General features: G+C 47.0%; 1 long non-coding RNA gene across 1 annotated transcript in view, besides 1 other annotated feature; it reads left to right on the top strand.

The window, feature by feature from the left end:
• Positions 1 to 15,125, top strand: part of CRTC3-AS1 (CRTC3 antisense RNA 1) — a 97,132-nt gene that overhangs the window by 35,869 nt on the left and 46,138 nt on the right. The gene's annotated exons all lie outside the window — the stretch shown is intronic.
• Positions 3,132 to 3,191: an enhancer, noted in NCBI's record as "active region_10089". NCBI's record gives its function as "activates an Ori minimal core promoter by ATAC-STARR-seq in GM12878 lymphoblastoid cells {active_cell/tissue: GM12878}" and the evidence as "EXISTENCE:reporter gene assay evidence [ECO:0000049][PMID:35858748]".

The raw sequence follows: 15,125 nt of genomic DNA, 5'->3' as shown, positions 1-15,125 counted from the left end.
CAGAGTCTGAGTGCCTAGGTGGGCCCAGAGCCTTCCCTCTCCAGCCTCCCTGCTGCCCCAGAGAGGACAAACACCATTTCTGACTCCCCTACATACTCAGAGTGCATTCTCAGGATCACAGTAGAGGAAGGACTGAGAAAATAAGTGCTCATGAGGCTGATGGGCTGCCTTAGCTTTATCAGCAGCAGAAGAATTCTGGGATGCTCACCTCCCAGAAGACCCTCCACAGTTCCCAAGAGCCTCTTCATCCATAATGAGGGTGACAAAACTTCTCTGAGTCACAGACAGCTTTGAGACTGGGATGGAAACAGAGGATTGCATAAGTTTCAGGGGGCTGCTGGACCCCCATTCCTGAATCCTAACTCTGGGACACCTTCTCCAGCCCGTGTCTGCCTGGCTTAGCTGCAGGCCTCATACACTGTCTCCCTAGGACCTGCAGTTGAACCATTCCATGCTCACGGACACGTGGATTACATGAGCAGGGCCCTAGGCCTCCTCCTAACCTCAGATTTTTTTTTTTTTTTTTCTAAAAGGGCAAGGCACTATTTTAGTCACTGTTTTGCAGGGAGAAAAAAATCCTGTTTATCCTTATGATTCATTTTGGTGGTTTTTGGATAATGTTGTATTGATTCATGACGACTCACTCAGCATCTGGTATGAATTAAATGAGACTTTCTCTTTTTGACAGTAAAATGAAAGATCTTAAACAACGCTAACATTAAAAAGAGGCCTGGAGGGAATACAAGAGTTGGAGCAATCCTGGGGACTTGAGTCAGTTCAGTGGGATGCCCTACCACCTTGGCAAAGCCAGCACAGTGCCATGCAGTTCCAGGGCAGTGCTGCTTGTGACCTTATGTCTGCTCCTCATGAGTACCACGATGACTCCTTGCAGGTCCCATTGCTTCCCACCATATGCTGTTTTATCTTGTAGTCATGATCCCAACTGGACAAATGGGGAAACAGAGGCAGGAAGCTGGCATGGATGTGACATCAGGAGTCAGATTTTCTCTGGTTTGTTCCAGGAAGTTTTCCGTAGAATCCCAGAGGACATCCAGTGATTCTTAACGGGGGATGATTTTGGCACCCCCAGGGGTATTGGGCAATGTCTGGAGGCATTTTGGTTGCCACAACTAGGGAGGTGCTACTGGCATCTACCTGCAGTGTCAGAACAGCCTCCAAAGAACAAAATGATCCAGCCCACATGTCAATAGTGCCGAAGTTGAGAAACCCTGCTCTAACCCAAAGGGACTCCAAATCCCAAGTGATGTGGTGGTTGTCAGGGCATTAGCAGACTTAATGCAAAGGCCTCTCAATATGGCAAAACAGATTGTCTGAAAAATTATGTAATTTTTGTGTTTAAAAAGAGTAGAACCTGGGCAACATAGCAAGACCTTGTCTACAAACATATTCAGGCTGAGAAAATGAAAAATAAAAAAAGACCCTGTCTTGGCCGGGTACGGTGGCTCACGCCTGTAATCCCAGCACTTTGGGAGACGGAGGCAGGTGGATCACAAGGTCAGGAGTTCAAGACCAGCCTGGCCAGTATGGTGAAACCCTGTCTCTACTAAAAATACAAAAATTAGCTGGGCGTGGTGGCACGTGCCTGTAGTCCCAGCTACTCAGGAGGCTGAGGCAGGAGAATCACTTGAACCTGAGAGGCGGAGGTTGCAATGAGCCGAGATCGTGCCACTGCACTCCAGCCTGGGCAACAGAGTGAGATCTGTCTCAAAACAAAAGACCCTGTCTTTACGAAAACAAACAAACAAACAACAACAAATATATATAGAGAGAGACAGAGAGAGAGTGTCAGGTATGGTGGTATGTGCCTGTGGTCCCAGCTGCTCAGGTGACTGAAGCTAGTGGATCCCTTGAGCCCAGGAGTTCAAGGCTGTTGTAAGTCGTGACTGCCATGCACTCCAGCCAAGGAGACAGTGAGATCCTGTCTCAAAAAAAAAAAAAAAAAAAAAAAGTATATATCTTGCCTAGATCATGGTCTCTGTATGTCATTCTCTGCTAAAAGAAACTAGGGCTCCTGCCAAATGGCCAGTCCAAGGTTGGGGCAGCTGAACAAGGAAGGTATCATCACTATGGAGTCTGATTAAAAGGACACAGGGGTTCATGTGAAAAGGCTCTCTCTGACCAAATACAGGATGATTTGAGCAACAAAAAGAACAATGCAAGTATGTTAAAATTCGTATTTGTAAGTTGAAAGAGGAGCTTGTGATCAAAAGATGAAAATGTTCCTTGGCCGGGCATGGTGGCTCACACCTGTAATCCCAGCACTTTGGGAGGCCGAGTCGGGTGGATCACCTGAGGTCAGGAGTTTGAGACCAGCCTGGCCAACATGGTGAAACCCCATCTCTACTAAAAAATACAAAAAATTAGCCAGGTGTGGTGGTGGATGCCTGTAATCCCAGCTACTCAGGAGGCTGAGGCAGGAGAATCGCTTGAACCTGGGAGGTGGAGGTTGCAGTGAGCCGAGATTGTGCCACCGCACTCCAGCCTGGGCAACAAGACCAAAACTCCGTCTCAAAAAAAAAGAAAAGAAAAAAGAAAAGGTACCGCCAAATCATGTGACTTCTAGAGGTTTCCTTTATGAAAAAAAAAAAGTGGTGCTTCCATTACCTCTTAAACCCAGATGTTCTCATTTCCTTTAGTGTCAACAGTGGCGGAAAGGGAAGTTTGTATCACCTGTGTTAATGCTGCTCTGGAAAGGGAGCCAGAATGAGAGTGCACAGTGATCACACAGTCACCATCAAATAAACCATGACTACGCACATACTCTGGGATGGCTGCATCTCTCCTGTGGGAAAGAGAGAGATAGAAAGAGAGAGCAACATGTCATCCGATGACTGCAGCCTAGATGGATATGGCTGTGATAGAGTGCTTCAATTGGAATCTGCCTCTTGTAACTGAAAATTACTTTAAACAATAAAAAGAAGTTATTGACTCATAGTCAAGAAAGCTTGACAGTGCTGCAGTGCAGTCCTTGGACTACAGTGGTCCACAAACTGTTATTGGTCCACGATAAGATATCTATGTGGCTGCAAGATCCACGTGCATGACCCTTCTTTCCTACCTTGTTGATGATGCTACAGGATAACGAGAACACCTGGGTTTAAGAGGCATAGAAGAACCACTTTTTATAAAGGATACCTCCAGTGGATGAAGCTATATGATTCATCTTTATTGTGTGTTACAAAAGTATCAGTCAATAAAATAACAATAAAACTGAAAATGAAACGGAAAACTGCTGTTATTACAGACAGTTCGAAAAACAGTGGCCTAGAGTGGTGATTCCCAGTCCTGGCTGCTCAACAGAACTACCTGGTGAGCTTTGACAACTCCCAGTAATGAGGTTCATTCCCAGGGATTTTCATTTAATTGGCCTGGGGTGGGGCCAAAGCATGGCTAGTTTTAGAAGCTTGCCAGGTAGTTCTAATGTGTAGTGAGCGTTGAAAACTAGTGGTTTGGATTCAGGTTGGCCTCAGCTGAGGCTTTATCCAGTGGTCAGGAATGTCACCAAGGCCTGGTGGTCTCATAGCACTAAATGGTCATATTAGAAAAGGAGAAAGAACTCAAATCAATGACCTCAGCTTCTACCTCAAGAAACTAGAAAATGTTCAAGTTCTTCTGCTCTGACCTAAAAGGTGTAAAAAAATAAATGTAGGGGCCGGGCGCGGTGGCTCAGGCCTGTAATCCCAGCACTTTGGGAGGCCGAGGCAGGCGGATCACCTGAGGTCAGGAGTTTGAGACCAGCCTGGCAAACATGGAGAAACCCCGTCTCTACTAAAAATACAAAATTAGCCAGGCGTGGTGGCGCATGCCTGTAATCCCAGCTACTCTAGAGGCTGAGGCAGGAGAATCACTTGAACCTGGGAGGCAGAGGTTGTGATGAGCTGAGATCACGCCATTGCACTCTAGCCTGGGCAACAAGAGCAAAAACTCAGTCTCAAAAAAAAATTAAAAAAAAAAATTTTAAAGAAACTAGAAAAATAGAGCAAATTCATTCCAAAGTAAGCAAATAAAAGGAAATAATAAAGATCAAAGGGGAGAAATTAATGAAATGGAAAACACAAGAACAATAGAAAAAGTCAATGAAACTGAAAGCTGGTTCTTTGAAAATATCAATAAAATTGATAACTTCTAGCCTGACCGATTATGAAAAAAACAAAACAAAACAAAATACAAATTGCTGATATCAGAAATGAGAGAGGAGACATCACTACAGATTCCATAGATATTGAAAGGATAACAAGGGAACATTATAAACAACTTTATGCCAACAGATTCAATAACTTAGATGAAATGGATAAATTCTTGAAAAACTTAAGAGCTTACTCATGAAGAAATAGGTCATTTGAATAGCCTAATGTTAATTAAAGAAATTGAATTTATAGTTAAAAACCTTGTCACAGGCTGGGCATGGTGGCTTACACCTGTAATCCCAGCACTTTGGGAGGCCAAGGTGGATGGATCACTCAAGGTCAGGAGTTCAAGACCAGCCTGGCCAACATGGTGAAACCCTGTGTCTACTAAAAATACAAAAAATAATTAGCTAAGTATGGTGGCCTTTGCCTGTAGTCCCAGTTACTTGGGAGGCTGAGGCAGGAGAATTGCTTGAATCCAGGAGGCAGAGGTTGCAGTGAGCTGAGATTATGCCACTGCACTCCTGGGCAACAGAGTGAGACTCTGTCTCAAAAAAGAAAACAACAACAACCTTGTCACAAAGAAAACTCCAGGCCCACAATCTAAGACAGTAAACTGTGCCCAGCACAGGGTGGGAGGAGAGTGCTAGCAGCACAGCTTGGAAGGCAGGCAGCTCCTCTGGCTATGAAGTCGAGTTCACTTCCAGGCTAACTTGGACATATTGCAAAGAGATGTTTGATAAATTTGAAACTACAGTTAAATGGCAGCTAACAGCCTCTCACCCATCTTTCCCTAAGGAAGTACTTCAAGATGTCCAACAATCCAGTAGGGCTTTCATTTTATTTTCTTGACTCAAATGTGAGCCTGGTGGGTAGACGCATCTGAGCATTGACTTGTTAAGAAAAACTAACCTGGCCGGGCGCGGTGGCTGATGCCTGTAATCCCAGCACTTTGGGAGGCCGAGGCAGGCAGATCATGAGGTCAGGATATCGAGACCATCCTGGCTAACACAGTGAAACTCCGACTCTACTAAAAATATTAAAAAAAAAAAAAATAGCCAGGCATGGTGGTGGGTGCCTGTAGTCCCAGCTACTTGGGAGGTTGAGGCAGGAGAATGGCGTGAACCCAGGAGGCAGACTTGCAGTGAGCCGAGATCGCGCCACTGCACTCCAGCCTGGGAGACAGAGCGAGACTCCATCTCAAAAAAAAAAAAAAAAAAAAGAAAGAAAGAAAAAAGAGAAACTAACCCACACGGTAAAATAGACTTCTGCAGCTCACCAGCCAGCTAATACCAAACCTGATAACAACACACTGGTGTGGCCACAACTTTACTCCCGTTTTAAATGGCAATCCCTCCTCACCTGAATATTGGTGAAACCTTGGCTAGGAACAGCTTGGAGGCGTCAGTCCTAGTCCAGGCCCCTTTGTCATTATCCTGTGGTTTGTTCACTGACAGGTTTCTGTGTCCTAAGATAGCCACCCATTGGACTTGTCACCGTGTCTACGCTAACATATTAATGACCTAAGCTTTTGGTCTCGGTCTCTGCAATTGCTTGTATTTGTATCTCTAAAGTACAGTTCTCATCTCTCTTTTGTTGCTTTCATGATTTCTCTATTTGTTACTGCAATGTTGCAGTGCAGCCTGTTCACCCACCTGCAATGCACTGCACCACGGAACGCCCTCCTCTCTGGGCCAGCATGGTGGGAGGCGTGGGAAGGAAAGATCCCAGACTCAAGGGAGCAGGGAGCAGGTACTTAAGGGCAGGGAGAAGGGATGCAGTCAGAGATGAATGCTCTTAGTAATGTTTTCTTTAAACTAGATGATAGGGACATGGGTGTTTTGCATTATTTATGCCTTTTTGTATATTATATTTAATAATCACTTTTTTTTTTTGAGACGGAGTTTCGCTCTTGTTTGCCCAGGCTGGAGTGCAATGGCGCGATCTTGGCTCACCACAACCTCTGCCTCCCAGGTTCAAGTGATTCTCCTGCCTCAGCCTCCCGAGTAGCTGAGATTATAGGCATGCACCACTACGCCCGGCTAATTTTGTATTTTTGGTAGAGACGGGGTTTCTCCATGTTGGTCAGGCTGGTCTCAAACTCCCGACTTCAGGTGATCCGCCCGCCTCGGCCTCCCAAAGTGCTGGGATTACAGGCGTGAGCCACCGAGCCCAGCCCACTTTTTTAATAAAAAGAAAAGTCAGTATACATGAATATTAAAAACATAGTGCTGGGCAAAATTCACACCATCCTGTAGTGCAGAGCCCCCCTCTCCTTCCAGGGTAGCCATGAGATGAATAGTGACACCTTAGACTGGGCCCTTCACTGCTGCTGGACTCTTTTTGCAAATGGGGTCAGAGTCCTGGGAAATGCAGCCTTGGTGCAGAGAATAACGCTTGGGCATTTTGTGTGTATTCTCAGGTTGCAGATACCACAGACTCTGTCAAGAAGTGTGTTGGGGGCCAGGCGTGGTGACTCATGCCTGTAATCCCAGCACTTTGGGAGGCTGAGGTGGGAGAATTGCTTGATCCCAGAGGTCAAGTCTGTATAAGCCATGATCATGCCGGTACTCCAGCCTTGGAGACAGAGTGAGACCCTCTCTCAGAAGAAAAAAAAAAAGAAGTATGTTGAGGCTTCTCATTGCTCTGAAAAGGGAGTTCATGATAAACATGTTTGGGCTGGGGAAAAAAAAAAACAAGCACATAAACAAAATAAAAAACCCAACCCTTGTCCCTTGGTCTTTGAGTGACCAGTGATATTCCATCGCCGTGGAAGAAGAGAAGATGAATACTGGGGGAACACCCACAGTGCCTGTGACGCTTCCTACCAGCCTGCTCTACCTCCCTGGCCGGCTCTTTCTCCCTTCCTCCTACCAGCTTTTCTAAACCTTCTGTCAGCTCAGCATCCCTCCCATCCCTCTGCCATCACTAACCCCTCTCTTCCTATTGCACAGAACAAAGAGAATCCATCAGATGAGAGTTCCTTCAACTTCCTGATCTCTCCCTCCCAGCCCTCACCAGACACCCTGCTTGAATGCTCACCCCTTTCTCTCGAAGGCCAGTCCCTGCTCCTGGGCTCTCAATCCCACCCCTCCTATTGGCCTAGAACCGCAAAACCAGGTCTCTCCCACTGTCTCCAGACTCTCTGCCCACAGTGTGTCAGCATTTAAATATGCTCGTCTTTTCCATGAAAGGTGTTCCCTGGGGCCAGGCGCGGTGGCTCACACCTGTAATCCCTGCACTTTGGGAGGCCGAGGTGGGCGGATCTCTTGAGGTCAGGAGTTCGAGACCAGCCTGGCCAATGTGGTGAAACCCCATCTCTACTAACAATACAAAAATTAGGTGTGGTGGCACACGCCCGTAGTCCCAGTTACTAGGGAGTCTGAGGCGGGAGAATCGCTTGAACCCGCGAGGTGGAGGTTGCAGTGAGCTGAGATCATACCACTGCACTCCAGCTTTGGCGGCAGAGCAAGACTCTGAAGAAAGAGGGAGGGAGGGAAGGAAGGAAGGAGGGAAGGAAGGAAGGAGGGAAGGAAGGAAGGAAGGAAGGAAGGAAGGAAGGAAGGAAGGAAGGAAGGAAGGGCGGGCTCCCTGGACTCCATCTCCCCCTCCTGCCACCTGTCTCTCCGCTCTCCTTCGGCGTAAGCCAGGAAGCGCTCCCTTCTCTATGTCCACCACTTTTTCAGTTTCTTTAAAATAAGAAATGTGGTGGAAATGTCAAGACACCAAGAAACCTATACACCAGTCCTAAGGGTTCATTCTACTTTCCTTTTTCTCTCTACAACATCATACAGCCCTGGTTATTTCTACAGTGGCTTTAGTCCTCTCCTTTGGTGTACTTTACAAAAATATATCCAGGGAGAACTGGATTCTCCATCCTCTTGGGGAACCGACAGAGTATCCACAACCAGTCTATTTCAAAGGGAGGGGGTTGGGCTTGATGAGGTGGCTCACTCCTGTAATCCCAGCACTTTGGGAGGCTGAGGCGGGAAGATCCATTGAGCCCAGGAGTTCAAGACCAGCCTGGGGAACATGGCGAAATCCCATCTCTACAAAAAAATACACAAATTAGCCAGGTGTGATGGCGTGCACTTGTAGTCCCAGCTACTCAGGAGGCTGAGGAGGGAGGATCACCTAAGCCTGGGAGTTCGAGGTTGCAGGGAGTTAAGCCATGATCGTGCCACTGCGCTCCAGCCTGTCTGAGACACTGTCTCAACAAACAAGCAAACAAATGAAACAAAAGGAAGGAACCTGAACCTCTTTACATCTTCTTTTGGGAGCAGCGATAATCAGCAATGACGTGTTCCAATCATAATTCCATTTCCTCATTTAAGGCAGAACCCTCTCTGTTCAGTAATTGGCACAATTTGAGGACAAGAGTTATCCTAGGAACTTTCAGAAAAAGAACCCATATTAATTTTGTAACAAAGATGTAAAATGTGTCTTTGTGAGAAAGGGGCATACAGATTTTGGTGGGACTTTGAATCATACGCAGTCATAATTTGTTTTATCCTTTTTTCCAGAAAAATATGCAAAACAAAATAGCTGTGTGATGGTACTACAGGGTCTTTGGGCTTTTGGAGGAGAATATAACCAAAGGGCTCCCAGGACAGCGTCATGTTCAAGTGTCTAGAAAGTTTCATATGCACTCTGTGCTTTACTTTCTCATCACCTATTTTAGTCCATTCAGGTTGCTTTAGACTCCCATAGGCTTATAAACAACAGAAATGCACTTTCTCACATTCTGGAGTCTGGAATGAGATTGTGGTGCCAGCATGGTTGAGTTCTGGCAAGGGATGTCTTCTGGGTTGCAGATGGCCGAATTTTCTTTGTATCCTCATGTGATGGGGAGAGAGAGACAGAGTGAACTCTCTGGGGTCCTTTCATGGGGTAGTAATCTCACTGCTGGGGGCTCTTAGCTCATGACCTAATCACCTTCTAAAGGCTCACCTCCTAATACCATCACCTTGGGGGTTAGGATTTCAACAGATGAATCTGGGGAGGGGATACACATATTCAATCCACGGCACCTGTTCACTCTTCCCCCATCTGCAGTCCGACATCTGCCATCTTCCTTGTCACTAGACCCAGTGGACTCCCCATCATACTTGGCTTCCCAGCACCACCTGGCGTTTGGGGCCTCTTCTTCCTTGAAATCTCCCTTTACCCCACGTCTGTGACCCACACTTCCCAGGCAGCTCACACCCAGGCCTTAGCGGGGGTAGGCCCTCTTCCCTTCTCCCTCCACCCCAGTGTGGGACTTCATTCACTCCGTCATCTTTTTGGACAGTTCAATTAGGGGCTCCCAAGCCACTGGAAATCCAGGTGAGCCATGGATCTTGGAATTCCAAGGCCTCCCTGGGGTTTTGCTGTGATTCCCAGGGACTCTGGCCTCGTCTCCTCTTGGGATCTGACTTCCTGTGTGCTGCCTCTCTGTCTACTCCAGGTTCTGAAGGAAAACTCAACTTTGTCTTTGGTTCCCCCACAACATTTAATCACACCCCACTGTGGGGTCATTAGACTTTGCCAGAGGTCTTGGGGGCTGTCTAGGCAGGGGTCTTACCAGGACTGGCACAGCCTCTGCCATCTTGCTTCTTGCCTCCACCTCAGCTCCTCTCCCACTTTACCTTTCATTTTACTGCTGCAACTCCAAAGTCCTCCCTATTGTCTGAAGCATCTTCCCTCCTCTGAATCTTGAGATCGGCTGACACCCCGGCCCTCCAGAAGTGGGCGTTTCACCTTCCAAAGCAAGCTCTTAGCACGATTTTTTTCCCACACAAAGCCAATTTTTTAACAGAAATTTTACAGCCATAAAAAATTATATTTTTTTAATACAATTTAAAAAATATATATTTCTCCACCTTGTTCCTGGCCTTTTTCTCCTAAGCTTCAGCCCCACAGCTCCCACAGGCATCTGAAACTCGACGTGCCCAGATGAGAACTCATCTTTCTCCCTTCTAAGCTGGGCTGTTCTTTTTTTTTTTTACACAGAGTTTTGCTCTTGTTGCCCAGAGCTGGAGTGCAATGGGGCTATCTCACCTTACCACAGCCTATGCCTCCCAGGTTCAAGCGATTCTCCTGTCTCAGCCTCCTGAGTAGCTGGGATTACAGGCATGCGCCACCACGCCGGGCTAATTTTGTATTTTTAGTAGAGACAGGGTTTCTCCATGTTGGTCAGGCTGGTCTTGAACTCCCGACCTCAGGTGATCCACCCGCTTCAGCCTCCCAAAGTGCATGGATTACAGACGTAAGCCACTGCTCCCGGCCTGAGCTGTTCTTTACTCTCATGGTTGGCATCCCCATCCAACCAGGTCCCTGGGTGGCCTCTGACTTCTGACAAGTGACACTTCTTGCCAGAGGACTACCCCGAACTCACTGGTAGCTCACTCATGAGGCTCAGCTGGGGTAGGCCCAGCTGTACCTCCAGTCACCCCTGTGTCCATGTTCATCAGGCACCACACAGGCATGTTCCTCAATGCAAATCTGATCTGACACTGCTCTGCACTGAACTCCTTGGCGTCTCCCCCTGCTCCCCACCCCTCCAGCCCCTCCCATTGAGCGCCTCTCAGTTTCCCTCATGCCTCCAATTCCCCAAATGTCTTTCCACCCAAGCTCCCCGTCTCCTTGCTACCCTAGGCGTGTTCTTCAAGTCTCACTTTATCTGTTAACTTCTGGAAATCTGTGCCCGATCTCACACTTGGAGTTAGGCATTCTTCCTATCATGGGCAGGGTGAATAGTACCTTCTACAGTCATCATGATATAAACACTTATGAGGGCCGGCCGCGGTGGCTCACACCTGTAATCCCAGCACTTTGGGAGGCTGAGGTGGGTGGATCACGAGGTCAGGAGTTCGAGACCATCCTGGCCAAGATGGTGAAACCCCGTCTCTACTAAAAATACAAAAAATTAGCTGGGTGCGGTGGCGGATGCCTGTAATCCCAGCTGCTCGGGAGGGTGAGGCAGGACAATCACTTGAACCTGGGAGGTGGAGGTTGCAGTGAGCTGAGATCACGCCTTTGCACTCCAGCCTGGGCGACAGTGCAAGACTCTGTCTCAACAAATAAACAAACAAACACTTTTGATTTCTTTGAACATTGTGATGTAACTCTCTGGGGAAGATCAGCAGGGGGAAATGGTGTGTTTGTGTATAGGTGTTGAGGGGTATGGTCAGAGAGCTTAGTCTCCATTTTTCAGAGTAGGAAGTTTGAAGTCAGTAGATGGTGGTTCAAATTGAAAAAATCAATAGACATATAAGCTTTATTATTTAGAATTAGAAATGTAAATATTTTTAAAAACCCAAGAGTTTGACAACTACAGGGCTGGATTAGGGGGCTGTTGCTATATAACTGATGTTTAATGTATAACTAATCAAACAACAACTACATTAGGAAAATAAGTAAAACAGATCAAATCAGAGCTGCTCTGTGTGGGGTAGGAGGGCAGCTCCAGCCCATCCCTGGGACTCTCAGAGCACAATTTGAAACTAGACGCAGGCCAGGTCTGGTGGCTCATGCCTGTAATCCCAGCACTTTGGGAGGCCAAGCCCAGAGGATCTCATGAGGCCAGGAGTTCAAGACCAGCCCGGGCAACACAGTGACACCCCATCTCTACAAAAAAGTTAAAAAGTTAGCCAGGCACAGTGGCATGTGCCTATATTCCCATCTACTCAAGAGGCTGAGGCAGGAGGATCGCTTGAGCCCAGGAGTTCAAGGCTGCAGTGAGCCATGATTGTGCCCTGCACTCCAGCCTGCACGACAGAGCAGGACCCCGTCTCTTAGAAAGCAAACCCACAAACAACAACAACAACAACAAAAAACAGAAGCCAGGCAAACCATGGTTTCACGAAACTCCCTGGAAATGAGAGAACTGTCTAACACCTTGGATGAGAAATAGCCATTTGAACAATTAATTTGTGATTCAGGATGGGAGAATTTTGCCACATTTAGTTTCTACAAAGAAGCAAATGCTGCCATTTCTCTTTTGAGGTTTATTCAACATTTAGAAAGCCTGGGCAATATGGTGAAACCACGTCTCTACAAAAAAGTTTTAAAAAAAATTAGCCGGGTGTGGTGGCATGCACCTGTAGTCCCAGCTACTTGGGAGGCTGAGGTGGGAGGATCACTTGAGCCCAGGAGGCATAGGTTGCAATGAGCCAAGATCTTGCCACTGCACTCCAGCCTGGGAGACAGAGCCAGAACATGTCTCAAAAAAAAAAAAAAAAGAATCTAGAAGAATAAATCTACCAATCATCACTGGCCCCACATCTAAGCAACTGTGTCTTTCAGAGATGGTCTCTCTTGGCTGGTGAGGTACCTTCCTGGTCCTTCACTGAGATTCAAAGGGGGTGTCTTGAGAAAGAGCGACAGAAAAAGCTCTGTTCCCAGAGCTATCTCTGAAAACATGTAGAATTTTTTTGGCAAAATCTTGGCCATATTAAATCAAGGAAACTGCATATTTTAATTAGGTTCTTCCTGGGCCAAGTTTTTACATAGATTTTCAGCAATGTTAATGCATGATATATAAGCATAGAACCTTGATGTCAGGAAGAGGCTGTATGAAGATACTAATGCAACATACTGCATTTAGAAAGCCTTTCACCCTGAATCATATAGAACAGAAACATCTTTTTACGATCTCATTTCACAGTCACATGTGAAATTTATCTTTAAGCCTTAGGAATGTACATATATTTCTATATATTTGTAAAATCTGCAGAAGGGAGCACAAGGCATTAGGAGAGTTACATTCAGGCTTTTCTGCAGGATTTCCAGGAGCACCTCTTTTTGTGGGGTTTCCTTAACATAGAAGCGTTTTATTTTCTTTTTCCCCTTTAAGAAAAATTTAATTTTTTGTTTTGTTTTGTTTTGTTTTGTTTTGAGATGGAGTTTCGCTCTTGTTGCTCAGGCTGGAGTGCAATGGTGCGATCTCAGTTCACTTCAACCATCCGCCTCCTGGGTTTAAGTGATTCTCCTGCCTCAGCCACCCAAGTAGCTGGGATTGCAGGCACACACTGCCATGCTTGGCTAATTTCTGTATTTTTAGTAGAGACGGGGTTTCACTATGTTGGTCAGGTAGGTCTCAAACTCCTGAACTCAGGTGATCCATCCACCTCGGCCTTCCAAAGTGCTGGGATTAAAGGTGTGAGCCACTGCTCTTGGTCCTTGATTTTTTTTTTTTTTTTTTTTTTTTAAGACAAGGTCTTCCCTGTTGCCCAGGCTGGAGTGTGAGTGGTGTGATCATAGCCCACTGTAGCCTTGACCTTCTGGACTCAAGCCTCCCGAGTAGCTGGGACTACAGTGTGTGCCACCATGCCTGGCTAATTTTTTAATGAAATGGGGGTCTCACTTTGTTGCCCAGGCTGATCTTCAACTCCTGGGCTCAAGCGACCCACCCCCTTCAGCCTCCCAAAGTGCTAGGATTACAGGCATGAGTCACTGCACCCAGCTAAAATTTTTTTTTAAGACTTAATTTTTTTTAGACCAGGTTTATGTTCACAGCAAAAAGGAAGGTACAGAGAGTTCCGGTGTACTCCCTGCCAGCCTCCCCGATGATTAACATCCCCTCAGAGCAGTCCATTTTTTACAATCCATGAACCTACACATCATCATTGCCCAGAGTCCACAGCGTACATTAGGGTTCACTCTGCTGTTGAACATGCTGTGGGTTTGGACAAATGTACAATGACATGCATCCATACAGAGTATGGATGTATCATACAGAGTAGTTTCACTGCCCTAAATAGAAGCCTTTTTTTTGAGGTGTGTCCCCAGGTTTTGCCCTTTAGCTGAGAACTCTCACACTCACTGCCACTCCCAAGAGTGGACTGTGTCCCCATTCCAACCCCACGTGCTCACACAACCACAGGGCAGAGGGGGCAGCTGCCCCGTGGGGAAGTGCCCCAGAGACTGAGCCCATTGCTCAGTCTGCCCTGGGGATCTGGATGGGGACATCCAGAGACAGGGTCAGTTAGTGTAATCACCAAACTTGTTTGGATCATGGAAAGACCCACGTGTTTCAGCAGAGGTGAGGGAGCAGCTCTGCACAGCGGGGAGAGGGGAAAAGTAGGTGAGCTGGGGAAACAGGGAGAAGAGATTTCTGTCCTGAGGCAGGGACAGTTGGAGACAGAGTCAAACAGGATTCAAGTGATGGCAAGATGGAAAGACAGAAACAGGGACACAGTCGAAAAAAGATGCCACCGAGCAACAGAGGCGCAGACAGAAAGGAAGGCAAGCTGGGCCTGCTTTGGCTCCCCCTGGACATCCCTGCCCCCAGGCCTGGCTGCTCCTCAGCGCAGATTCCCAGGAGCTGCCTGGCCACCCTCAGATAAACCCCCCTAAAACCACGTGTTTCTTCTCCTTCCTCGTCTCCTTTTTTTTTTTCTAGACAGGGTCTCACTCTGTTGCCCAGTCTGGAGTGCAGTGGCACCATCTCGGCTCACTGCAACCTCCGCCTCCCAGGTTCAAGCAATTCTTCTGCCTCAGGTGCCACCATGCCCGGCAAATTTTTTTGTGTTTTTAGTTAAGACGGGGTTTCACCATGTTGGCCGGGCTGGTCTTGAACTCCTGACCTTAAGTGATTCGTCTACCTCAGCCTCCGAAAGTGCTGGGATAACAGGCATGAGCCATAGTGCCCAGACCCCCTTTTCTTCTTCACCTGGTGGAAGGGGCTCTTCTTTGCATCCACGAAATGCCAGGTGAGTCAGTCAGCAAACTGCTTGGGAATGATGGGAGCTAGGGCTGCTGTTTTGGGTCTGTTTTGCTCACTTATTTTTATCATTTTGAGGGGTTTCGGGGGTGAGGAGTAAGTGCTCCGCCCCCCACGCCCCACAAGGGATGGGAATTAGGCATGTCAGTCAGTATAACACAATTTTCTAAGTATGTCTCTTTGTTCAGACACCAGTATTTTTTTTTATTTTTTTTTATTTTTCTATCTCCAGTTATTAAGTCACTGCTGCTGTAGGAGTGCCACTTAAGTGC

Source organism: Homo sapiens, chromosome 15 (genome assembly GCF_000001405.40).
Source record: "Homo sapiens chromosome 15, GRCh38.p14 Primary Assembly".
Taxonomy (NCBI): Eukaryota; Metazoa; Chordata; class Mammalia; order Primates; family Hominidae; genus Homo; species Homo sapiens.
This window is presented reverse-complemented; position numbering and strand designations above follow the sequence as displayed.